The sequence below is a fragment of the Homo sapiens genome, chromosome 11, assembly GCF_000001405.40.
Source record: "Homo sapiens chromosome 11, GRCh38.p14 Primary Assembly".
Taxonomy (NCBI): Eukaryota; Metazoa; Chordata; class Mammalia; order Primates; family Hominidae; genus Homo; species Homo sapiens.
In genome coordinates, this window is record NC_000011.10 from 77,952,686 (window position 1) to 77,980,673 (window position 27,988).

At 39.5% G+C, this 27,988-nt stretch overlaps 1 protein-coding gene across 7 annotated transcripts in view; it reads right to left on the bottom strand.

Moving 5' to 3' along the window:
* INTS4 (integrator complex subunit 4) overlaps positions 1-27,988 on the bottom strand; it is a 120,307-nt gene that overhangs the window by 78,324 nt on the left and 13,995 nt on the right. For all 7 annotated transcript variants that reach the window (XR_002957208.2, XR_001748036.3, XM_017018560.3 and 4 more), the window contains exons 4-8: positions 26,311-26,417; positions 8,268-8,453; positions 7,656-7,706; positions 6,061-6,149; positions 3,257-3,377 (exon numbers count right to left, since the gene is read on the bottom strand). Coding sequence is in view for 5 of the 7 variants with exons in the window: in XM_017018560.3 (XP_016874049.1) it covers positions 3,257-3,377; positions 6,061-6,149; positions 7,656-7,706; positions 8,268-8,453; positions 26,311-26,417 (554 nt within the window). In the remaining 2 variants the exon portion in view is untranslated. The remainder of the gene's footprint in view (positions 1-3,256; positions 3,378-6,060; positions 6,150-7,655; positions 7,707-8,267; positions 8,454-26,310; positions 26,418-27,988) is intronic.

Genomic DNA, 27,988 nt, shown 5'->3' on the forward strand with positions numbered 1-27,988 from the left:
GCATGTGACTCAAGTTAGAGTCATTCAAGTAGAAATTTCAATGTACCATATGTTATACATACAACTTTATGCAAATAAATTTCAGATCCTATAGAGTACAAAACTGAAAATTTTGAATGATTCTTACTTTAAGGATTACTTTTTAAAACTGCCTATTCAGGTAAAGATATATCATTAATTTACTCCTCTAAAACATCTTTCTCCTCCCCACTCCCACCTAGAGTTCATTGTAGATCCTCTGTAAATGCCGAATGAAAGGATCTGATGAATGATTAGACTGTTCTGAATTTTAAAACATTCATAACCCAAAAGAAAGTTTTAAAATATGAATTCAGAAATAAAATCAGTAACAGCTGGCTTGTTTAACTCTACTATGCACAAGAGTGGAAATACTCCAATCATCCATTACTATATCTCATGAAAGCGCTTCACACAGGTTTCAGCAAATACTCCCATAAATACTGGTCACAGGACTAAAGCTATCACCGGATCAGTGTCCAGTACAGTCAGAAACAAAGCATTCAGCCAACAATCTCACCAAGAGTGGCAGGGCTGGGGGCACTCAAAGGGGAAGTGTCCAAAAAGAATCACAGATTTTCCTGCTGTGACACGTATACAAATTTTTATAGATACTTACACACACATATATTTATATACTATGCCCCCACCCACCCTACATAGTATAGTACTTTTTAGTTTATAAACATTTTCATAGACTGTATCTCATTTGAGCATCATGACAACACTGTCAGGTAAATATGAGAGATATTAGAACCCCACTTAACAGATGAGGAAACTGAGACTAATATCAAGTGACATATACAAGGTAACACAGATATAAAATAAGGGTATTAGGCCAACACTCTATTACAAAACAATTTTATCCCTTAAAAGTTAAACAATTTTTTTTTTTTTTGAGACAGGGTCTCGCTCTTTTGCACAGGCTGGAGTGCAATGGCACAATCTCGGCTCACTGCAACCCCTGCCTCCCAGGTTCAAGTGATCCTCCCACCTCAGCCTCCAGAATAGCTGGGACTACAGGTGTGTGTCATCACACCAGGCTAGTTTTTGTATTTTTAGTAGAGATGGGGTTTCACCATGTTGGCCAGGCTGGTCTCGAACTCCTGACCTCAAGTGATTTGCCCGCTTCGGCCTCCCAAAGTGCTGGGATTATAGGTGTGAGCCACTGCACCTCTGCCTCCCGGGTAACCTCTGCCTCCCGGGTTCAAGCGATTCTCCTGTCTCAGCTTCCCAAGTAGCTAGGACTAGAGGCGTGTGCCACCATGCCCAGCTAATTTTTGTATTTTTAGTAGAGACGGGGTTTCACCATGTTGGCCAGGATGGTCTCGATCTCTTGACCTCGTGATCCGCCCGCCTTGGCCTCCCAAAGTGCTGGGATTATAGGCGTGAGCCACAAAAGTTAAAAATTTTCAATAAATGTGCTGAGTCCTCAAAAAGAAAACAGAAAAGTACCAAGCTAAAAGATGCAAGATCAGGATCTGACCTCACTCTACAATTTTCTGTCTGTATAAGCTGGATAACTTACTTAACTCCTCAGAGCCTCAGTTTTCTCATCTAGAAAATGATAACAGCATTTTAAAAAAAAAATTTTTTTTTAATTTTTTAAAATTTTATTTTTTGAAAAATAGAGATGGGGTCTTGCTGTGTTGCCCAGGCTGGTCTTGAACTCCTGGGCTCAAATGACCTGCCCACCTCAGCCTCCTAAAGTGCTAGGATTATGGGCATGAGCCACCATGCCCCAACTGGATAATGGCATCTATCCTGCAGGGTTACTGTAAAGAGAAAATGAGAAAATATATGTAAGGGGCCTCCTTCAAATTATCTAAGATAGTGGTCCCCCACCTTTTTGGCATCCGGGTTCAGTTTCATGGAAGAAACCAGAAAGAGTGGTGAAGCAGGGTAATTTTAGGATGAAACTGTTCCACCTCAGATCATCAGGAATTAGACTCTCACAAGGAGGATGAAACCTAGATCCCGCACATGCTCAGTTCACAATAGGGTTCACACTCCTATGATAATCTAATGCAGCTGCTGATCTGACAGCAGGCAGAGCTCAGGCAGTAATACTTGCTCATCTACCACTCACCTCCTGTTGTGTGGCCTGGTTCCTAACAAGCCATGGACCAGGACTGGTCCACAGCCTGGGGGTTTGAGCCTCCTGAACTAGGACATAACAAGTGCTTAATAAATGGGAAAAACTTTTTTTTTATTGTTTTCCTTTTTCTCTAGGCTCCGGCTATCTTAATTCCTAGTAGGGTTAATAGAATTATGTTTTAAGATTCTTTCTAGTTCTAAAAGGCTATTTCTCTACAGGAGAGTGAACTATTTCTTTCTATATTAAGAAATTCTGGGGCTGGGAGTAGTGGCTTAAACCTGTAATCCCAACAATTTGGGAGGCCAAGGCAGAAGGATCACTTGAGCCTAGGAATTCAAGACCAGCCTGGGCACAAAGCAAGACCCCATGTCTACAAAAAATACAAATTAGCTAGGCAGGGTGGCACATGCCTGTAGTCCCAGCTACTCAGGAGGCTGAGGTGGAAGGATTGCTTGAGCCCGGCAGGTCAAGGCTGCAGTGAGCCGTGACTGCACTATTGCACTCCTGCCTGAGCAACAGAGGAAGACCCTGTCTCAAGAAAAGAAAAAGGAAAATAAATTCTGGGGTTTTAAATTCAGGTCACACTGCCCCATCTGTAGTTTCTCAAAATGTCTGTAAAAACTTAATGAGAAATGTGCTCATTTAAAAAAAGGATTATTGGCTGGGTGTAGTGGCTCACATCTATAATCCCAGCCTTTTTTTTTTTTTTTTGAGATGAGAGTCTCCCCCTTGTCGCCAGGCTGGAGTGCAGCAGCGTGATCTTGGCTCACTGCAACTTCTGCCTCCCAGGTTCAAGCGATTCTCCTGCCTCAGCCTCCCGAGTAGCTGGGATTACAGGCGTGCGCCACCATGCCCAGCTAATTTTTGTATTTTTAGTAGAGACGGGATTTCACCATGTTGGCCAGGATGGTCTCAATCTCCTGACCTCGTGATCCGCCTGCCTTGGCCTCCCAAAGTGCTGGAATTACAGGTGTGAGTCACCGCACCCAGCCTATAATCCCAGTCTTTTGGGAGGCTGAGGCAGGAGGACTGCTTGAGGCCAAGAGTTTGAGACCAACCTGGGCCACACAGTCCTCATTTCTACAGAAAAGAAAATAAATATATACATGCATACATACATACATAAAAAGTATAACTTACCAACAGTTTTGCTGCCTGAACACGAACCACCCAAGAGCCATCACTGACCATGTGACAAATTTTGCCAAACGCATCATCAACTAAGCGTATTTCTTCATTAGAAGAAGGAATTGGGACAATGCTAAATTAAAAGAAAAGAAATGAAATCACTTAGAACAAAACATGAACCTAAGTCTGCAGGCTCAGGCCAGGCACAGTGGCTCACATCTATAATCCCAACACTTTGGGAGGCCCAGGCAGGTAGATTGCTTGAGCCCAAGAGTTCAAGACCAACCTGAGCAATATGGCAAAACCTCATCTCTACAAAAAAAATACAAAAATTAGCTAGGCGTGGTGGCATGCGCTGATAGTCCCAGCTACTTGGGAGGCTGAAGTGGGAAGATTACTTTAGCTCTGGAGGTGAAGGTTGCAGTGAGCTGAGATCACACCACGGCACTCCAGCCTGGATGACACAGCAAGACCCTGTCTTGAAAAATAAATACAGTCTGGGCGCAATGGCTCACGCCTGTAATGCCAGCACTTTGGGAGGCTGAGGCAGGTGGATAACTTGAGGTCAAGAGTTCGAGACCAGCCTGGCCAACATGGCGAAACCTCCTCTCTACTAAAAATATAAAAATTAGCCAGGCATGGTGACACATGTCTGCAATTCCAGCTACTCAGGAGGCTGAGGCAGGAGAATCGCTTGAACCTGGAATGTGGAGGTTGCAGTGATCCAAGATAGTGCCACTACACTCCAGCCTGGGCAACAGAGCGAGACTCCATCTCAAAAAATAATAATAATAATAATAATAATAATAATAATAATAATAATAATAATAAACAAATAAATACATAAGTAAGTAAGGCTGCAGGCTCAATAAACTGAGAACAGTCAATGAAGACTGACACACACAAAAATGATAATTGAATAGTTCAAATCCTAGAATGATTAAATACAGTTTGGAATAAACAAATCACTCTGGGAGTACAAACCAACTCTTTCAGTTGCATTGCAAATTATGCTTTTTTTTGAGACAGGGTCTCACTTCTGTCGCCCAGGCTGGAGTGCAGTGGCGTGAGCACTGCTCACCACAGTGTCAACTTCCTGGGCTCAGGTGATCCTCCCAGTTCACCCTCCTGAGTAGCCGGGACTACAAAAGCATGCCACCACACCCAGCTAATTTTTTATATTTTTAGTAGAGATGGTTCACCATGTTGCCCAGGCTGATCTCAAACTCCTGAGATCAAGCAATCCACCCGCCTCAGCCTCCCAAAGTGCTAGGATTACAGGGCTGAGTCACTGCAACCAGGTGCAAATTTTCAATGTATTGAATAAAAGTGTGTAACCCACCAAAGGTTCAGCCAGGCGTGTAATCCCAGCACACTGAGATACTGAGGCGGGCAGATTACCTGAAGCCAGGGGTTCAAGACCAGCCTACCCAACATGGCAAAACCTCATCTCTACTAAAAGTACAAAAAATGAGCTGGGTGTGGTGGTGCGCGACTGTAATTCCAGCTACTTGGGAGGCTCAGGCATGAGAATTGCTTCAACCCAGGAGTTGGAGGTTGTAGTAAGCCGAGATCACATCACTGCACTGCAGCCTGGGCCACAGAGCAAGACCCTGCCTTAAAAAAAAAAGTACGTAACCCACCAAAGGTTCAAAGATTTATGAAATTATCAAAAACTAGCTTCCACCGAATATTTCATATCCTTAAGTTTATTATCTTCTGTAACTGAACTTCTTTTTTTTTTTTTTTTTTTTTGAGAGAAAGTGTCTTGCTCTGTGACCCAGGCTGGAGTGCAGTGGTGTGATCTCAGCTCACCACAATCTCCACTTCCCAGGTTCAAGCGATTCTCCTGCCTCAGCCTCCCTAGTAGCTGGGATTACAGGCGTGTGCCACCATGTCCGGCTAATTTTTGTATTTTTAGTAGAGACGAGGTTTCACCATGTTGACCAAGCTGGTCTTGAACTCCTGACCTGAGGTGATCCGCCCACCTCGGCCTCCGAAAGTGCTGGGATTACAGGCACCACCGTGTCCAGACTGAACTTCTATAAATACAGTAAATCTCAGAATAAATCAATATAAAACTTACTTATCAATCCAGTCCTAAAAGAAGACACAATTTCCAGTTAGCCCTTTTCTTTGTATGTGTCTAAGTCCTAAAACACTACAAATGGAGCCTACTCCTACAGGTTTATTAATTCATTCTGGTTTTCAAATTCTGGCAGTTTAATGAACAGGAAAAAACACCCCTTTTTCCTATACAAGGAAAAATAAAATATTCTATAAATATTTATAAATAAAAGATAAATAAACATTTATAAATATAATATTCTATCTTACAAAATATAATAAATAATATTGCCTACCTCCTCAAAGAATCACTGTGGTTAATTTAATTGCTGTGAAAATATTTTTAACCAGGAAAACTACATAAGAGATCATTATTCTCAAACTCATCTGGTATCTTTATCTGGCATTTGGCACAAGCCAAACTAAAATGGGTCCCAAACAATTTTAAAGATTTTTTTGTAAAGTACTGAAAACCATTTAAGAAAGATATTCCAATTTCTTCACTTATGGATGAGAAGGTTAGGATAAAAGAAGTGAAGTATCTTTCCAAAGTGTACAGAAAGTTCCTATCAGAGATGAAAAATGAGGACCAGGCAATCTGATTTTCAGGGCCTGTGCTTTTCCCTTATTCCCCATTGCCTTCCAAAAATGTAACCAACATTTCTTTTCTAGAAGTGGGCTTTTTGCATGGTGAGAGGAGAGGAAAACGGCTTCACAATCAACAAAAGCCAGCTTACACCCACACTGACCTTTCAGGATAGAGCTGACTGACGACCCAGATAAGCTGGACTGCAGCACTGCGCACTTGTTCATAGTCATCAGAGAGTAATTTACAGGCCTGCAAAGAAGAATTCCAAAAGTCTATTAGTTCTGTGTCCTCTCAGGCAATGTTTAAACTATTTTCAAAGTGAAGATAGGGTGGTTGGATAAGGATGCCCAGTAAAACACTTGTGTGTGGTTTTAACTTCTGGAATCTTTGCTTAAAAATGAATCTTGACCTCTGTCAGCTGCTCTGGCTGTATTCTGACTATGCACCCTACCCCATGTCTGAAAGGAGAATCACAGACTGACAGCATAAAAACATCTAGAACAGATCAAACCCAGCAAAGCATGCTGGGAGCAAACAGTACTGTTCTCACAGGTTCAAACACCAATTATGGCTTTTTCCTCCCCCTGTAAAAATCAAAGCACACACTTCTGTTTACCTTGGTCTGAAATCACTGGCCTCTGTTTCAATCCACTCACTCTTTCTGGGTAGCCCCATACTCCCTAAATACTGATGGCTTTGAATACCTACCCTTAGCTCTGATTTCTCCTGATCTCCAGGCCTTTATAACTACTTATGGCTGGAATTCTCTTCATGGATGTCCCATCAAACTTTTATACTCAACACACGCAAACCTGAACTCATTAAGGAAGCAAATTCTACCTTATATCTTAAATTCTACACTATCAGTCCATCCTCACTCCCTTGATGCTGTCATTACTGCTTGCCTAGATTACTAACAGAGTCTTACGCCACCAAACATCTGAATCAGCCAACTAACTTCCCTTCCTCTGAGTCCTTACGATCCAAGTTTCCTTTGAATTATTTGGCTTCCCACATAGTTTTCTTATAGAAAAAGAAGGCGATGGTCACACCACCACAAGCATTCTGGACCCATTCTACTTCATTCAATAGAGGAATAAACTTGGTTTACACATCTGTGATGGGGCTTGGCTAATTATCTTCTTCCCATGAGAGATAAAACCACTCTTGGCAGGCTAACAAAACCTAATCTCTGAACGTGGATTTAGATTCCTTTTACCAGATTCAGTCAATTATCCTCCAAGAGAAATACAGCCTCATAAGGCCTTTTGGTTGGCCATCAATCAGCTTTTCCACAACTTCATTATACCTTTCTTTACCACTACTACTACATGCATGTGACTTTTTTTTTATATGATCCTACGGTCTTGGTCACCCTTCTCCAGACACACTCTAGTTTGTGAAGTGTGGTGCCCAGAAATGAGTTCATGTACGGCCCAACCAAACAGTGATCAGAAAGACTAACACGTTCCTTATTCTAAATGCTACACTTTTCTTCAGGTACTCTCATTCTCATACTGAACTTTGTAAATCCTCCTAAAAGTCCTTTTCACATGTACTAGCGCTATTTAATTACATAACCTCCATTCTCTTCCTGAAAAGTATGTTTTGAATATGACTTCACATCCATCCCAATCAACGCTGCCACTATTAACTAGCGAAGTCCTTACGTTTTCAAATTCTGAGAACCTGTGTGCCGCCCTCCCAGCTTCATGATACCTCCAACCCCTTCCAGACAGTAATCATATAAGGTACCTGATTATAAATTGTTTGGTGTAATTTCAGTCCTCTTTCATGGAGCTGCAACTAGATAATAAATATATAGTTTAAGTGCTTGGGAGGAAAAGAGCAATATTTCCAATGTCTCCCCACAATCTCACATATTTTCCCCTATTGTATCAGGCTAACATGGTTCCTTTTAGCCAAAATTAGTGCTATATAAATAAGAAACCTTGTCGTCTTTCAATAGGAGCATTCAAGCATTTCACAAATCTAACCCATGGACTGTCCCAAGAAGGTATTAGAAAAATATGAAATAATGATATGAAGCCTAAAGAAAAAATGATTAACACCACCTCCCCCTATTATAATATCATACCAAGTCATATGCCTCCAAGTCGAAGGAATTATAACAGGTTCCTATTGTGCTTTCCATGTTTCATAAATACACATGAAAGCTACCAGAGAAAGCCAAAAAAGCACACTTGTATACAGGAATGTGTGTCACTGAGTTCTGCGAGGCCACCACCAATACCCTCCTGAAAGTATATGCTGAAGAATTTACAATGTATCCAAGGCAGCACTAGCTATAAACTTAAAAAACAAAAATGAACACTAGCCCCAACTAGTTTCCATAATCACATTTACCATGGCTTTTATAGCTGCTGTTCTGACACGTGGGTCTTGGTCACTGAAGTAATCCCCTATAATCTTCTGGACATCTCTGGCAGCTAGGCCTTCTGCATCTTTTGTGACACTTTTCTCCAAAGAGCCAAGATTGCCAAGTAACTGCAGGCACTTATTTCTTACACCATGAGACGTATCTGTCAGATGCTATTAAAAAAAAAAAAAAAAAGAAAAAAAGAAAAAGAAAAAAAGGACATGATTAAGATATCTTAACAAACACAGACAAGACCAGAAACAAAAGCATTGCAGCAACCTTAGGGGTGATTTCAAGACCTATATTCTTAGGACAGTCTGTCTAGCATCATGTTACTTGAGTACGGGTCTTCTCAAAAAAAATGAGTCCTTAGAAAATAAAAGTCCTAGTTTTTCATCTTTGTATTCCCAATAGCTTTGGGAATACAAAGGCACTTTGCCTTGTACAGAGTAGGTACTTTAAAATTCGTCCCTGATTGCGTTTTATTTGCTTTCAAATTTTAAAACCAGACAAAAATGTATAAATTTTTAAAACTTTTAATATCCATAGAAATATGCAAAATCTTAAGTGTACAGCTCAATAAATTTTCACAAATACACATATATAACAAGCACCCAGATTAAATAGTATATAACCAACACTCCAGAAATATCCCTCATTCCTCCTCCCAGCAACAACCTCACCACATCACCACCAAAAATAGCTACTATCCTGACTTCTAACACACAGGTTCATTTGTTTATTTTTGTACTTTATGAAATCAAATAGCATCTGGCTTCTGTGGCTTATTATGTTTGTAAGATTTATGCAAGGTATGGCAGATAGCAATGGTTCATTTATTCTTGTTACTTATATAGTATTCATTTGTAAATACATGAAAATCTATTTAGCCTTTCCGTTGATGAATATTTAAGTTATTTCCAGTCTTTGGCTATTTCGAATAATGCTACTGTGATTATTCTTGTATGTGGCTTTTGGTGTACATGTTCACATTTTTGTTGGATATATATGTAGAAGTAGAATTGATAGGTAACAAGACATGCTTCAGCTTAAGAAGATACTGCCAGTTGGGCACAGTAGCTCATGCCTATAATCCCAGCACTTTGGGAGGCCAAGGCAGGAGGATCACTTGAGCCCAGGAGTTCAAGACTGTCCTGGGCAAATGGGACTATAGGCATGTGGTGGCACACACCTATAGTCCCAGCTACCCAGAAGGCTGAGGTAGGAGGATCCTTTGAGCCTCGGAGGTGGAGGCTGCAGTGAGCCATGATCATGCCACTGCACTCCAACCTGGATGACAGAGTGAGATACTGCCTCCAAAAAAGAAGATATTGCCAAATAGTTTTCCATAATGGCTGTACTAATTTACACTTCCACCAGTGCTGCATAAGTGTTCTAGATGTGCCACATCCTTGTTGACATTTAGTACTATCAATATTTTTTATTTTAGCACCTCTCACCACGAATTTTAATAAATTATCAGTTTTCCTCCTGCATTACCCTAGTCCAATGCTACTAAAACAAGCTATTTGCATAACATAGCAACATAAATTAAAAATACTTTGAAGAAATGAGGTAATAAAAATGGTACAAAACTCTGGATTTCAAACTTCTTTTGACTAGCACCCAAAGTAAGAAACACATAATATTGCAAGACAGTACATAAAAACAGACATACAGCAAGTTTAACAAAACAATATTTACCTTATAGCTTGTGATTTACTCTGGTACTTGTATTTTATTTTTTTTCAAAAAAAAAAATTACGTCTCATGAAATTGGTCACATTACCCACTAATGGATAATGATTCTCAAAGTGAGTCACTAGTGCGGAGAAAAGTGAATGGGACTTGGCCAGCTTGGACAACACAGCGAGGCCCCATTTCTTTAAAAAAAAAATTTATAGCCAGGTGTGGTGGCACACACCTGTAATCCCAGCTACTCGGGAGGCTGAGGCCAGAGAATTGCTTGAACCCAGGAAGCGGAGGTTTCAGTGAGCCAAGATCACGCCACTGCACTCCAGCCTGAGCAACAGAGCAAGACTGTCTCAAACCGCGCCCCCTAAAATTCAAAAACAAAACAAATGAACTATTTATATTTAGTATAAAAACATCATTTCTCATGACTAAACTGTTGATTGCACCTCTGTTACAAACACTTTGATTTTCAAGCAATAAACTAAATACTTCTAGCTTCTGTCAACCAGGCAACAATAATGCACAATCAATGTATTACTGCACACTGAATCTTAGCCCAAAAGAGAGTCTCATGCTCTCAGGGAAACAATTACAATTTTATGATGTCCTTCCCTTACAAGTCACTTCTTGCATCAAGGTCATCATCATTAAGAACTGCTTTTCTGGCCGGGCGCAGAACGAGACTCCGTCTCAAAAAAAAAAAAAAAAAAAAAACAAAAAAAACTGCTTTTCTTTATACTGTTGGATAAAAACTTATTAATTAAAAAAAATTGCTAAGTGTCTGCAGATGCTATTTGGGTGTTACACATTTTGTCAGGCCATTGAAGTGCCATAATTTTTATATTAATGGAGCAAGTAAGGAAACCACATCCCCAATAATAAGACCAATTTGTGTCAAAAATAAAAATTAATTTACAATTTTGCTATATATTAAAAAAATAAATGGTTCTGTGTATCAACAAAATCTGAGAATGAAGTTGAATAAGATAAAAATAACATACTGATCCATTCAGCATCGATATGGATTTTTTTTTTCTTTTGAGATAAGGGTCTCGCTCTGTCACCCAGGCTGGAGTGCAGTGTTGCAATCAGCATTCACTGCAACCTTGGCCTGACAAGCTCAAGAGATACTCCCACCTCAGTCTCCTGAGTAGCTGGGGACCACAGGTGTGTGCCATCACACCTGGCTAATTTTTAAAATTTTTGTAGAGATGGGATGTTGCCACATTGCCCAGACTGGTCTCAAACTCTTGGGCTCAGGTGATCCTTGATATGAATAGTTTTTAAGGACAGATAACAATTTGGTGTATTCTGTATGCAGATTCTAATGTATACCCTCTTTTAACAAGAACTTTGGTCTCCCAGAAAAATCTTTACAAATAGGAAAGAAAGCAGAAGACCCTCAATTTCAGTTGTGCAGATGCTACACAAGAAAACTGCATTAATTTCTTGTCAAGTCTTTGAACTACATCTATTCATCTCTCAAATGAGGATTAGCTATCCAATAAGTGAAATGATTAAGGAGAGGATAAATGAGAACTTTGAAAAGAATCCAAAAGCACGACTTTCTTCCTACTGTGATACAAAGAATACAACAGAGTAACATCCTGTATTTAAAAATTATTGGCCGGGTGCAGTGGCTCACACCTGTAATCCTAGCACTTTAGGAGGCCAAGGCGGGTGGATCATGAGGTCAGGAGATCGAGACCATCCTGGCTAACATGGTGAAACCCCATCTCTACTAAAAAAAAAATACAAAAAAAATTAGCCGGGCATGGTCGCGGGCACCTGTAGTCCCAGCTACTCGGGAGGCTGAGGCAGGAGAACGGCGTGAACCCAGGAGGCGGAGCTTGCAGTGAGCCGAGATCGCGCCACTGCACTCCAGCCTGTGTGACAGAGCGAGACTCTTTCTCAAAAATAAAAATAAAAATAAAAAATAAATAAAAATAAAAATTATTATAAAGAGACAATTTAAACTTCAAAAAATAATGATTATACTATTACATAGTAAATAAAGCAGGAGACAAATGGAAGGAAGGAGGAAGGAATGAGGAAGGGCAAGTGGAGGGAGGAAGGGAGGGAAAGCAGGAAGGAAAGAAGAGAGGGAGGGAGGGGAGGCAAGCTCTCTTTATGGTAATAACAAAGTCAGGCAAGATTTAATAACAGTTGCTAAAATGGTGGGTAGTTTGATGAGGAAGAGCATATTTACATAATCTCAAAGTATCTCTCCACAAATTATCTATTTTTGATTTTAATGTTTTATTATAGTCATAGTTATATATATTTTTGGGATACAATGTGATACTTTAATACATGTATGCAATGTGGAATTATTAAATCAAGCTAATTAACATATATCCATCACCTATCATTTTTTGTGGTGAGACATTTGAAATATTCACTTAGGTTTTTGTTTTTTAAGAGACAACATCTTCCTCTGTCACCTAGGCTGGAGTGTAGTGGCATGATCATAGCTCACATAGCCTGGAACTCCTGGGTTCAAGCAATCCTCCTGACTCAGCCTGAGAATACAGGTGCAAGCCACCATGCCCAGCTACTTTTTTTACTTCTGTAGAGACAGAGTCTCACCACATTTGCCCAGGCTGGTCTTGAATTCCTGGACTCAAGCAAACCTCCCACCTCGACCTCACAAAGTGTTAGGATTACAGGTATGAGCCACTGCACCTCCCTACTCTTAGTTATTTTTAAATATACATTATTGTGGACTATAGTCACCTGCTATGTAATAGATCTCAAAACCTATTCCTCCTATTCCTCCTGTTGAGCTGAAACTTTATAACCTTTGATCAGCAACTCCCCCCTCCCTCACTTTACTACCACTCCTAGCCTCTGGTGATCATCACTCTACTCTCTTTGAGTTCAACTTTTTAAAATTACACACACAAATGAGATCATGTGGCATGTGTTTTTCTGTGCTCGGCTTATGTCACTTAGTATGTCTTCAAGGTTCATACATGTTGTCATGAATGACAGGATCTCCTTCATTTACAAGGCTGAATAGTATTCCATTGCATGTTATACACTACATCTTCTTTATCCATTCATCTGCTGATAAACAGGTTGATTCCATACATTGGCTATTGTGAATACTGCTGCAATCAACATTGGAGTGCAAGCATCCCTTCAACATACTGATTTCAATTCCTTTAGACATATACCCGGAAGTGGGATGACTAGATCACATGCTAGTTCTATTTTTAGTTTTTTGAGACCTTCATCTTGTTTTCCATAAATAGTTGTACTAATTTACATCTTCGCCAACAGTGTACGAGGGTTTCCTTGTCTCCCCATACCAACACTTGTTATTGTTCATCTTTTTTATAAAAACCATTCTAATAGATGTGAGGTGACATCTCACTTAATTTGCATTTTCCCGACGCTTAGTGATGTTGTACACTTTTTCATGAACCTGTTGGTCATCTGTAAGAAGTGTCTGTTCTGGTCCTTTGCCCATTTTTTAGCCAGGTTTTGTTGTTGTTGTTGCTACTTAGTTGAATTCCTTATATATTTTGGATATTAGCCCTTGTCAGATATATGGTTTACACATTTTGTTTTTTTACCTCTATGGGTTGTCTCTTCACTTAGTTTCTTTTCTTGTACAGAAACTATTTAGTTTGATACAGTCCCATTTGTCTATTTTTTGTGGTTGGTTGGTTGCCTGCTCTTTTAAAGTCACAACAAAAAATCATTGCCCAGATCAATGCCACAGAGCTTTCCCTGTGTTTTCTTCTAGTAGTTTTACAGTTTCAGGTCGTATGTTTTAAGTCTTTAATCCACTCAGTTCAAGTATGTGTATGACGTAAGGGTCTAATTTCATTCTCCTGCATGTGAATGACCACTTCTCCCAGCATCATCTATTGAATAGATTGTCCTTTACCCAGTGTGTGTTCTTGGCACCACTGTCAAAAATCAGCTGACCATAAATGCATGGGTTTGTTTCTGGGCTTTCTATCCTGTTCCTTTAGTACTGTTTTTATGCCAGTACCATGTTGTTTTGACTACAAATGCTTTATATTTTGAAAATAGGGAATGTAATGCCTCTGGCTTTGTTCTTTTTGTTCAAAATTGTTTTGCTATTAAGTCTTTTGTGGTTTCATACAAACTTTAAAGATTTTTTTTCTATTTCTGTGAAAAATGATATTGGGATTTTGATAGGGATTACACTGAATCTGCAGATCATTTTGGGTAATATGGACGTTTTAACATATTAATTCTTCCAACCCATGAATTTTAGGGAACTGTCATACTGTTTTCCACAATGGCTGCACTATTTTGCACTACTACTACCAATGCACAAGGGTTCCAATCCTTGCCAATACTTTTTTTTTCTTTTTGGCAATAGCTATCCTAATGGGTATGAAGTGGTATCTCACTGTGGTTTTGATTTTCTTTCCCTAATGATTAGTGATTAGTGATATTAAGCATCTTTTCATATTGGATTATTGACCATCTATATGTCTTCTTTGGAAAAATGAGTTTCCTTAAGGAACTCATGACCCAACAGTCATAGTTACAAAAGAAATGCAATACATTATAACTGCATTTGGAGGTGGGGCCTTTCAGTAGGTAATTAAGGTTAAATGAGGTCATAAGGATGGGACTCTAGTGTCCTTATGAGAGCTCTCTCTCATGCACAGGGGAGAGGCCATATGCCCACACAGCCAGTGGTTAGTTGTCTTTAAGCCAGTTAAAGAGCCTTCACTAGGAACTGAATTTGCCAGCACCTTAATCTTAGATTCTAGACTTCAGAAACGTGAGCAATTTCTGTTGTTTAAGCCATCCAGCCTGTGGCATTTTGTTATGGCAGCCCTTACAGAGGTATATCCCGTAAGTGAACTGTTGGATCATATGGCAATTCTATTTTTAATTTTGGGGATCAAATAACTCTATAATCAAAACCTGGCAGACACCACCTAAGCCAAGTATCAAACGCAACATCATGAACAAGTCAAACGTCATCTGTGCCTCATGATGTTATACATTATGAGGGACACAAAATTCTGTTATATTCTTGTCAAAATGCATTGGCTGAATCTAAACTGAAAATATCAGATAAAACCAGATTGCAAGACATTTTACAAAATAAATGCCCTACACTCTTCAAAAATGTCAAGGTAATGAAAGACAAAGAAAGGTTGAGTGACCTTTTCAGATTAAGGAAAACAAAAGAGACATGAAAACTAAATATAGTCATGCATCAATTACCAACAAGGATACATTCTGAGAAATGCATCATTAGGTGATTTCATCATTGTGCAAACATCAGAGTGTACTTACCCAAACCTAGATTGTAAAGCCTACTACACCTAGACTACATGATATAGCCTAATGCTCCTAGGCTATAAACCTGTACAACATGTTACTGTACTGAATATTGTAGGCAACTGTAACATAATGGTAAGTATTTGTGTATCTAAACATATCTACACATAGAAAAAGTACAGTAAAAATATAATATTATAACCTTATGGGACCACTGTTGTATATGCAGTCCATCCTTGACTGAAATGTCATTATTATGTGATGCATGCTGTAATTGATATCCTTAAAAAAATACATATGAAACATTTACTTCAGTGGGAAAATGGCATGATTTCTCCAATTTACTTAAATGGTACATTATTCAGCTGTAAAAAGGAAGAAAATTCTGACACATGTTACAATGTGGATGAACTTTGAGGACATTATGCTAAGAAAAATAAGCTAGGCACAAAAGGACAAATATTGCGTGATTCCACTTACCTGAAGTCCCTACAGTAGTCAAATTTATAAAAACAGAATATAGAATGGTGGTTGTTAGGGACGAGGGGATGGGGACATGGGGAGTTATTGTTTAATGGGTATAGAGTTTCACTTCTGCAAAACAAAAAGAGCTCTGTCAATGAAGGGTGGTGATGATCACACAACTTTGTGAATATACTTAATGCCACTAAACAATATGTTTTAAAATGGTTGACATGGTAAATTTTATGTTAATCTGTATTTTATGACAATTTTATTAAAAACTTAAACACTTAATTACCATATGACCCCAAAATTCCTCTCCTTAGTATACATCCAAGAGAACTGAAAACATGTATTAAGCAAAAATTTGTAAGTGAATATCCTTGGTATATATCCAAGAGAACTGAAAACATATATATATATAAAGCAAAAAACTTGTAAGTGAATATTCATAGCAGCATTATTCAAATTAGCCAAAACGTGGAAAAAATGTAAATGTTGAAAAATTCACCAAAATTCAGTGAAGTATAATTTTTTTCTTATATTTATTTATTTTGAGACAGAGTCTCACTCTGTCGCCCAGGCTGGGGTGCAGTGGTGTGATCTCAGCTCACTGCAGCCTCTGCCTCCCTGGTTCAAGTGATTCTCATGCCTCAGCCATCAGGGTAGCTGGGATTACCACCACACCCGGCTAATTTTTGTATTTTTAGTAGAGACAGGGTTATCACCATGTTGGCCAGGCTGGTCTCAAACTCCTGGCCTCAAGTGATCTGCCTGCTTTGGCCTCCCAGAGTGCTGGGATTACAAGTGTGAGCCACCATGCCAGGCCTGAAGTATAAATTTTTAATAGCTGTGATAAGATATAATACACATACCATGCAATTCTCCCAGAAAACGTACGCAATTCTCCCAGATAACATGTACAAATCAATGGTATGTATGTATAGGCGTATGTATGTATATGTATGTATGTATTTATGAATGAATGAATAAATGACAGGGCCTCGCTCTGTCGCCCAGGGTGGAACGCAGTGATGTCATCATAGCTCATTGCAGCCTTGACCTCCTGGGCTCAAGTAATCCTCTCACCTCAGCCTCCCAAAGTAGCTGGGGCTACAGATGTGCACCATCACACCTGCTAGTTCTTTTGCACAGATGAGGTCTCATTGTGTTGCTCAAGCTGATCTTGAACACCTGCACTCAAGCGAGCTTCCCACCTTGGCCTCCCAAAGCGTTAGGACTACAGGCATGAGCTACTGCACCTGGCCAATTCAATGCTTTTCCGTACTGCACATATATGCACAACCATCACCACAGTCAGTTTTCAAACATTATCATTACAGAAAGATCCCCTCCTGCAAAAAAAAAAAAAAAGCCATTCTGTACCCTTTAGCTATCAACCTCCTATCTCTCTGTTCGCCTAAGCCCTAACCAACCACTAACGTACTTTCTGTCTCTATAGACTTAACCTATTATGGAAATTTAATATAAACTGACTCATGTAATAGGTGGTCTTTCGTGTCTGGCTTCTTTCACTTAGCATAATGTTTTCAAACTCCAACGAAGCTGTAGAGTGTATTGGTATTTTATTCTTTTTAATGGGCAAATAATATTCTAACGTGCATTATTTATCAATTCATCAGCTGATGGTCATTTGACTTGCTCCCACCTTTGACTATTATGAATGCTGCTGCTACAAACAACCATAGGGCCAGGTGCAGTGGCTCATGCCTGTAATCCCAGCACTTTGGGAGGCTGAGGCGGGCAGATCACCTGAGGTCAAGAGCTCGAGACCAGGCTGGCCAACATGGTGAAACCCCATCTCTATTAAAAATACAAAAAAATTAGCCAGGCGTAATGATGGGCACCTGCAGTCCCAGCTACTCAGGAGGCTGAGGCAGGAGAATTGCTTGAACCCAGGAGGCAGAGGTTGCAGTGAGCCAAGATCGCACCACTGCACTCCAGCTTGGGTGACAGAGTGACTCCATCTGGGGAAAAAAAAAATTCATATACAAACTTCTCAGTTAATATGTTTCAGTTTGTTGGTAGATATCTACAAGCAGAACAGCTGGGTCCTATGGTAAGGCTATTTTTAATTTTTTGAGGAACTGCCAGACTGTTTTTGAAAGCAGCTGAGCGAACACCAGGCACAGTGGCTCACTCCTGTAATCCTAGCACTTTGGGAGGCTGAGGCAGGCATATCTCTTGAGCTCAGGAGTTCAAGACCAGCCTGGGTAACATGCCAAAACCCCATCTCTACAAAAAATACAAAAGTTAGCCAGGCATGGTGGCATGCACCTATAGTCCCAGCTACTTGGGAGGCTGAGGCAGGAGGATCACTTGAGCCTGGGAGGCAGTTTTATTACAGCCATCCTAGAAATGTGAGATAGCATCTCATTGTGGGTTTTTTGTTTTTTGTTTTCAGACAAGAGTCTTGCTCTTGTCACCCAGGCTGGAATGCAATGGGAAGATCTTGGCTCACTGCAACCTCCACCTCCCAGGTTCGAGCCTCATGCCTCAGCCTCCCGAGTAGCTGGGATTACAGGCGCCCACCACCATGCCTGGCTAGTTTTTGTATTTTTAGTAGAAACACGGTTTCATCATGTTGGCCAGGCTGGTCTCGAACTCCTGATCTCAAGTGATCCACCCGCCTTGGCCTCCCACAGTGCTGGGATTACAGGCGTGAGCCACAGCACCCAGCTCATTGTGGTTTTGATATGCATTTCCCTAGTGACAGGTGATGTTAAGCTTTTGTGTTGTATGTTTATCTTTTTTCTATATCTATTTGGCACTGGATTATTAGATTTTTTGTAACACCTATTCAGATCTTTTGCCCATGTTAGTTTAATACTTTTTTTTTAATTTGCCACTTTCCCTCCTCTGTCATGTTTTTAATTGGGTTGTTTGTATTTTTATTATTGGGTTGTAAGAGTTCCTTAGATAGTCTAAATACAATTACCAGCTGGGCGAAGTGGCTCACGCTGTAATCCCAGCACTTTGGGAAGCCAAGGTGCATGGATCACTTGAGGTCAGGAGTTTGAGGTCAGCCTGACCAACACAGTGAAACCCCGTCTCTACCAAAAATACAAAAAATCAGCTGGGCACACGCCTGTAATCCCAGCTACTAAGGAGGCTGAAGCAGGAGAACCACTTGAACCTGGGAGGCAGAGGTTGCAGTGAGCCGAGGTCAAGCCACCACTGCACTCCAGCCTGGATGACAAAGTGAGACTCCGACTCAAAAAAACAAAAAAAACAAAAATACAATTACCTCATTATATGTATGATTTACAAATATTTTTTCCCATACTGTGGGTTGTCTTTTCACCTTCTTGGGTCCCCTGAAAAACAAGTTTTCAGTTTTGGTGAAACCCAATTTATTTACTTTTTTCTTTTAGAACGTGTGCTTTTGTTAAATCTAATAATCCACTCCAAAATCCAAAGACACTAAAATATACTACTATATTTTCTTCTAAGGGGTTTATAATTTTAGCTCACATATATTCAGGTCTTTGACTCATTTTGAGTTAATTTTTGCATGGTGTGAGGTAAGTTTCCAACTTTCTTCTTTTACACGTGGATAGACAGTTGTCCCAACACCATGCATTGAAAAGACAATTTTTTTCTCCATTGAATGGTACTGGCATCCATATAGAAAATCAGTTGACCAAAGACACATGAGTTTATTTCTTCTCCTTCTTCTTCTTTTGTTAGAGACAGGGTCTTACTGTGTCACTCAGGCTGGACTGCAGTAGCGCAGTCTCGGCTCACTGGCAGCCTCAACCTCCCAGGCTTAAGCAATCCTCCCATCTCAGCCTCCCAACTAGCTGAGACTACAGGCACACACCACCATTCGTGGCTAGTTTTTATATTTTTTGTAGAGATGGGGTTTTGCCATGTTGCCCAGGCTGGTCTCAAACTCCCGGGCTCAAGTGATCTGCTCACCTCAGCCTCCCAAAGTAGTGGGATTACAGGCATGAGCCACCACACCCGGCCAATTTCTTGACTCTCAATACTTTTTTTTTTATTTTTGAGACAGAGTCTCACTCTGTCGCCCAGGTTGGAGTGTGGTGGTGTGATCACAGCTCACTGCAACCTCCGCCTCCCAGGTTCAAGCGATTTTCCTGCCTCAGCCTCCCCAGTAGCTGGGATTACAGGTGTGTGCCATCACACCTGGCTAATTTTTGTATTTTTAGTAGAGACAGGGTTTCACCATGTTGGCCAGGCTGGTCTCAAACTCCTGACCTCAAGTGATCTGCCTACCACGGCCTCCCAAAGTGCTAGGATTACAGGCGTGAGCCACCATGCCTGGACCTGACTCTCAATTCTATTCCATTTATCTTTACATCTATCTTCATATAGTACCATAGTATCTGGATATTACTGGTGCTTCTTTTGTTAGATTTATTCATAAGTTTTCTTTTGTGGGTTTTTTTTTTTTTTTAATACAGATAGGGTCTCATTCTGCTGCCCAGGCTTAGTGGAGTGGCATAATCAAGGCTCATAAGGCTCACTGCAGCCTTGTCCTCCTAGGTTCAAACAATTCTCTCTCCTCAGCTTCCCAAATAGCGGAGACAACAGGCAAGTGCCACCATACCTGACTAATTTTTTCAATTTTTAGTAGAGATGAGATCTCACTGAGTTGCCCAGGCTGGTCTCCAGTTCCTAAGCTCAAAAGATTCTATTGCCTCAACCTCCCATAGTGCTGGGATTACAGGCAAGAGGCACCACCACACCCAGCCATCAGTATTATTTTTGATGCTACTGTAATTGAATTATTTTCCTAATTTCATTTTCATATTGTTCACTGCAAGTGTATATAAATACAATTTATATTTTGTATGCTGATTTTGTATCCTGCAATCTTGCTAAACTCATTTATTACTTCAAACAGTTTTTTAGTGGATTCCCTAAGATTTTCTACATACAAGGTTATGTCACCTGTGAATACGGGGAGAGAATTTTACTTTTTCTTTTCCAAAATAGAGGACTTTTATTTCTTTTCTATGCCTAATATCCCTGGCAAGAACCTCTAGTACAATGTTAAACAGAAGTGAAGAAAAATATAATGACCTATTTGTTTTGTTTCTCATTTTAGGGGGAAAGCATTCAATCTGTCAAAATTAAGTATGATGTTTCCTGTCAGTTTTGTTTTTTTTTTAGATTCCATTTACAAGGGTCAGGAAGTTCCATCTATTCCTGACCTATTCTATCCTAAAGCCTAAAAATATTACAAGATATTTTATGTGTTCTTATAATACAAGGGTGTTAAGAGTTTGTTAAATGCTTTTTCTTCATTTATTGTTATGATCTTGTTTTTTATCCTCGATAGTGTATTACATTCATTTATTTTCAGATACTAAACCAACCTTGCATTCCTGGAATAAATCCCACTTGATTATGGTATATACTCCTACTTGTATGTTGCTGGAGTTGATTTGCTAGTATTTTGTTAAAGATATTTGGATCCACATTCATAAGTCACTGGTCTGCAGTTTTCGTTTCTTGTGATGTCTTTTGTCTGTTTCTGGTAACTCATAGAATGAGTTTGGAAGTGTTCTCTCCTGTTCTATTTCTTGGGAGAGTTTGTAAAGAATTTGCATTAATTCTTATTTCAATATTTGGTAGAATTCACCAGTGAAGCCATTGAGGCCTGAGCTTTTCTTTGTAGGGATTTGTTTAGTTGGTTTTCTTAATCACTAATTCAATTACTTTACTTGTCATAGATCTATTCAGATTGTCTATTTCTTTAGTCATTTTCAGTAGTTTTTGTCTTTCTAATAATTTGTCCACTTAACTAAGTTATCTAATTTATTGGTATATAATTTTTCTTTTCTTTTTTTTTTTTTTTTTTTTTTGAGATGGAGTCTTGCTCTGTCGCCCAGGCTGGAGTGCAATGGCATGATCTCAGCTCACTGCAACCTCTGCCTCCCAGGTTCAAGTGATTCTCCTGCTTCAGCCTCCTGAGTAGCTGGGATTACAGGCACGCACCACCATACCCGACTAATTTTTGTATTTTTAGTAGAGACGGGGTTTCACCATGTTGGTCAGGCTGGTCTTGAACTCCTGACCTCGTGATCTGCCCACCTCAGCCTCCCAAAGTGCTGGGATTACAGGTGTGAGCCACTGCACCCAGCCTATGATTTTTCATAATATTAACTTATAATCCTTTTTAGTTCTGCCAGGTCTGTAATCATGTCTTTTTTTTTTTTTTTTCTGACCCAAGGTCTTGCTCTGCTACCCACGCTAGAGTGCAGTGGCACAATCACAGCTCCTTACAGTCTCAACCTCCCAGGCACAGCGATCCTCCCATCTCAGCCTCCCAGGTAGCTGGACTACAGGTACAAGCCACCAGACCCGGCTAATTTTTTTGTTTTATGTAGATATGGGGTCTTCCTATGTGACCCAGGCTGGTCTTGAACTCCTGGGCTCAAGTGATCCTCCTGCCTTGACCTCTCCAACTGTGGGATTACAGACATAAGCCACCGCCCTCGACAGTATCCTCACTTTTCCTTTTTTTTCCTAATATGTCCATCTTCTGGTCTTCTCATTTCTGAGTCTAGTAATTTGAGTCTTCTCTCTCTTTCTTGGTCAATATAACTAAAGGTTTGTCAATTTTGTTGATCTTTTCAGAGAAGTAAATTTGGTTTTGTTGATTATCTGTTGTTTTTCTATTCTGTTTAATTAATTTCTATTCTAATCTTTAGTATTCCCTTCCTTCACATGCTTTAAGTTTAATGGGTGCTTCTTTTTCCAGCATCTTAAGTTGGAAGGTTAGGTTACTGATTTTAGATCCTTATTCTTGTTTTTTTTTTATGATGGGCACTTAAAACTATAAACTTCTATAAGCACTGCTTTAGCTGCATCATTTTCTATTTTATTCATCTCAAAGTATTTTCTAATTTCCCTTTTGATTTCTTCGTTGACTCATTAGTTACATAGAAGTATGTTGTTTAATTTCCACATTTGTGGGTTTACTAAATTTCTTCCTGTTAACTAATTTATAATTTCATCCCACTGTGGTCAGAAAACATACTTTGTATCTTTTCCATCAAGAGTAAATATTTGTATATAAATTATATCTCAATTACAAAAAAAAAAAACTTTTAGGCACATTGTATGATAGTCATAAACCAAAATGGCATTTGGCAATAGAAACAGCGGTTGTAGTTATGAATCACAGATAGCCTTCATTACTGTAGTCTGAAAAAGCTTGTGACAGATCTGCCATTGACAAACAGTTGCAATTTTTACCCTATTAAGAACCTCTACAGGCCGGGTGCAGTGGCTCACACCTGTAATCCCAGCACTTTGGGAGGCCGAGGCGGGCGGATCATGAGGTCAGGAGATCGAGACCATCCTGGCTAACATGGTGAAACCCCGTCTCTACTAAAAATACAAAAATTAGCTGGGCGTGGTGGCACGCACCTGTAGTCCCAGCTACTCGGGAGGCTGAGGCAGGAGAATTGCCTGAACCCGGGAGGCAGAGGTGTCAGTGAGCCGAGATCACGTCACTGCACTCCAGCCTGGGTGACAGAGCGAGACTCTATCTCAAAAAAAAAAAAGGAACCTCCACAAACGATTTAAAAAAAACACACACACACAAACTCCATATGCTTAACTGGCAAAGGACATAAAAAGTTCATTCACATGAGAGGAAATACAAATAAAGGAAAAACATATGAAAAAGAAACCTCATTAGTCTTTTCAAAAAAGAGATTTTTTAAAAATGAAGTATCATTTTCCACATACCAAATTAACAGGTTTATCTTTGATTTTTAAACATTAATATCTAATGCTAGAATAATGCAGTGAAACTAGGAACTCTCATATACTGCTTGTGGGCATATAAACTGGAACACTTTGGAAAGCAATTTGACAAAAAGTATTAAGAGCCTTAGCTGGGCACAGTAGTTCACACACGTAATCTCGGGCAACATAGCAAGACCTTCGTCTTTTTTTCAAAAAAATAAACAACACAGCCTTTAAAAAAGTCTAGGCCAGGCACTGTGGCTCATGCCTGTGATCCCAGCACTTCAGGAGGTCAAAGTTGGAGGAACACTTGAGCCCAGGAGTTCGAGACCAGCCTAGGCAACACAATGAGACCCTGACTCTATTCTTCTCAGGGATCTAGAACTAGAAATACCATTTGACCCAGCAATCCCATTACTGGGTATATACCCAAAGGATTATAAATCATGATGCTATAAAGACACATGCACATGTATGTTTATTGTGGCACTATTCACAATAGCAAAGACTTGGAACCAACCCAAATGTCCAACAATGATAGACTGGATTAAGAAAATATGGCACATATACACCATGGAATCCTATGCAGCCATAAAAAATGATGAGTTCATGTCCTTTGTAGGGACATGGATGAAGCTGGAAACCATCATTCTCAGCAAACTATTGCAAGGACAAAAAACCAAACACCACATGTTCTCACTCATAGGTGGGACCTGAACAATGAGAACACATGGACACAGGAAGGGGAACATCACACACCAGGGCCTGTTGTGGGGTGGGGGAAGGGGGGAGGGATAGCATTTGGAGATATACCTAATGTTAAATTACGAGTTGATGGGTACAGCACACCAACATGGCACATGTATACATATGTAACTAACCTGCACGTTGTGCACATGTACCCTAAAACTTAAAGTATAATAAAAAAGAAATAAAAAGAATAAAATAAAATAAAAATAAAAATAAATAAATTCTAAATGTTTTCAATTAGTAATTTAGTAATTCTATTTTGATAGTCTGTGTTTCAGAAATAATTTTAAATACGGAAAATATTTTAGACTAACAATATGCCCTGCAGTATTATTTCCAATTAAATAAATGGCTACAATGTAAATTCAGTAATAGGTGAATAGTTAGGTAAAAAGTATGGTTTAATTATTGGACACAATATCACACAGCTATTACAAATTATATTTATAAAACACATACAAGAAAAATACTTATGTTAGCAAAAAAGGAGCAAAATTATATCACAATATCACACAGCCATTACAAATTATGTTTATAAAACACATACAAGAAAAATACTTATGTTAGCAAAAAAGGAGCAAAATTATATGATTACAGCAATGTATTTAAAGAAAAAAAATGGCAAATGATTTGCATACAGAAAAAAAATCAGAAAGCCATATATCAAAAGACAAATAATGATTCCCTTTGGGTACTGAATTATGAATGCATTTTTCTTTACAGTTTTCAGTATCTTTCCGAATTTTCTATGAGTACAAATTATTATAATAAAAAATATATTTAAGTATATAATATAAAATCTTATAGTTAAAAATATATTTAAAGCAGATTTAAGAAACAGTTACTGCAGATATCACAACCCATTCATTATGACAACTCTCAGAAGCAAACTTCACAGATATATATTTCCTCTCACAGGGGAGACGTACTTACTCTCCCACACACATAATCCCTAGTTTTTTCCATTTAAGCTGTTTTTTTTGTTTTTTTGTTTTTTTTTTTAAAGACAGAGTCTCACTCTATCACCCAGACTGGAGTGCAGTGGCTCAATCTCCACTCACATAACCTCCGTCTTGCAGGTTCAAGCGATTCTCCTGCCTCAGCCTCCCTAGTAGCTGGGATTACAGGCAGGCATCACCGTGCCCGGCTAATTTTTTTTGTATTTTTAGTAGAGATGGGGTTTCACCATGTTGGTCAGGCTGGTTTCAAACTCCTGATGTCAAATGATCCGCCCACCTCTGCCTCCCAAAGTGCTGGGATTATAGGTGTGAGCCACCGCACCTGGCCCTATTTAAGCTTTTAGTATTGTACTTGTCAAAGTGTTTTTGGTTTTATGTATGCCTGTTGTTTTAAGATAAATCAAGTAATCTTTCCTGCATCTCTGAGATAGCTTTCTAATTTCAAGAATATAATACTCTAACACAATTCAAATGCATTTGACTTTTTTATATTCTCAAAGTTATCAAAAAGATCCAAAGTAAAATCAATTCTACAGGGTTCTAGGGGTTGCTGTGTATACACAAAGAGGCTAATTAACCTCCAAATTAAATCAAAAGGCACAATTAATGTATTAATACATGTATTTAAAAATCAGAAAAAAAGAACGTACAAAACTTTTCCCATACATTTACTTGTGTATAGTTGGTCTGTTTATTGAAGCAACAAGGCATAATAAAAACAAAACAAGTTTGGGGTCAGAAAAAATACAGTTTATACCCTGGTACTGCAACCTCCTAGCTGTGCAAACTTAGACAAATCAGACTCCATAAATCTTAATTTTCACCTTTGTAAAAGAGAAATAACGGTACTTACTTGAAGGATTGTGAGGACCAAATGAAAAACTGAATACAAAGCACCATAACAAGCAGAGTGCATTATTAGGCACAATATACACAGTAACTATGTACTGTAATTATTTTCATTTGTTTTGAAAGGATGACGAAATACACTTTATAACAAGTGTACTTAACTTTATTCCTAATCCAACACCAAGAGATGAAAAAAATAAGGCAGCTCCTAAAACCATTAATGGTCCTTAGCAGTCCTCAGTTACCAGTTTAGGATGGATCTGAATAGATTTTATACTCTTACCTTGCAGGCCACATCAACTAATCGCATTTGGATAGCTTGATTCTCTGGTAGCTTAGTGCCAATTGCAAGCAAAGTATCCAGCAGTTGAGCTAGGACTTGATGAGACTCTAGAGAGGGAGATAGAAAGTTGGCTTGTAGAATTTCGAAAGGGGTAACTATATAAACTAATTTACTTGGGTAAAGAATGTAGATTGGCTAGGCGCAGTGACTCACAACTGTAATCCCAGCACTTTGAGAAGCCTAGGCAGGAGAATCCCTTGAGCCCAGGAGTTCAAGACGAGCCTGGGCAACATAGGGAGACTCCGTTTCTACAAAAATAAATCTGAAAAAATGAGTCAGCCAGGTGGTGTGCGCCCAGAGTCTCAGCTACTTAGGAGGCCGAGGTAGGAGGACTGCTTGAGCCTCAGAGATCAAGGCAGCAGTGAGCCGTAATCGCGCCACAGCACTCCAGCCTGGGCAACAGAGCGAGACCCAGTCCTAAAAAAACAGAAAAAAAAACAGACTTTTGTCAACTGGGTTCTACTGTGTGATCCTTCATGCCCTCAACTAAAAGCTAAGTTCCTAAAGGGATCATGTTTAAATGTCTGAGTCCTCCACGGGATAGAGTACAGTTCTATATACATAGTGTGCTCCAAAAATGTTTAGTGCTTGACTGATTCAAGAGTTTTTTCACACTAAGAAACAGAAAAAAAAAAAAAAGGCCAGGCACGGTGGTGGCTTATGCCTGTAATCCCAGCACTTTGGGAGGCTGAGGCGGGCAGATCATGAGGTCAGGAATTCGAGACCAGCCTGACCAACATGGTGAAACACCATCTCTACTAAAAACACAAAAAATAGCCAGGCATGGTGGCACGTGCCTGTAATCCCAGCTACTCAGGAGGCTGAGGCAGGAGAATCGCTTGAACCCGGGAGGCGGAGGTTGCAGTGAGCCGAGATCGCTCCACTGCACTCCAGCCTAGGCGACAGAGCAAGACTCCATCTCAAAAAAAAAAAAAAAAAGAAGAAACAGAAAAAAAAAAAAGTTTTCCATTGCCTTCAAGATAAAGTCCAAATATCCTAGAAGGCATATAATACATACATACCAGGCCTTCCATGTTGTCTACCCTTGCCTATCTTTCTAGCTTCATCTTTTTCAGGTCTCCTTTAACACTCTTTTTTCCAACTACTTATAATTACATGCCCCCTATCTTTGCTCAGGCTAACTTCTCTAAGTAGAATGCCTTCCCCCACACCTGACTCCATTCTTGACCCCACTCCCCACTGAACACCTAGTTATCCTTAAAATGTCACCTCTCATGTAGCTACCATAAGAATTTTCCATGGGAAAAAATGATACTTCTGTACTGAAGCAATGCTATTGTTTTGGTGCTTGTATTTATTTTTTTATTTTAATTTATTTTTTGAGACAGCGTCTCGCTCTGTCACCCAGGCTGAAATGCAGTGGCATGATCATGGCTCACTGCAGCCTCAATCTCCTAGGCCCAAGAAGTCCTCACATTTTAGCCTCCCAAGCAGCTGGGATAAAGGTGTGAGCAACCATGTTTGGCTAATTTTTTAATATTTTGTAGAGACAAGATCTAATTATGTTGCCCAGACTGGTCTCAAATTCCTGGGCTCAAGGGATCCTCCCACCTCGACCTCCCAAAGTTTTGGTATTACAGGCCTAGCCTAACCTGTG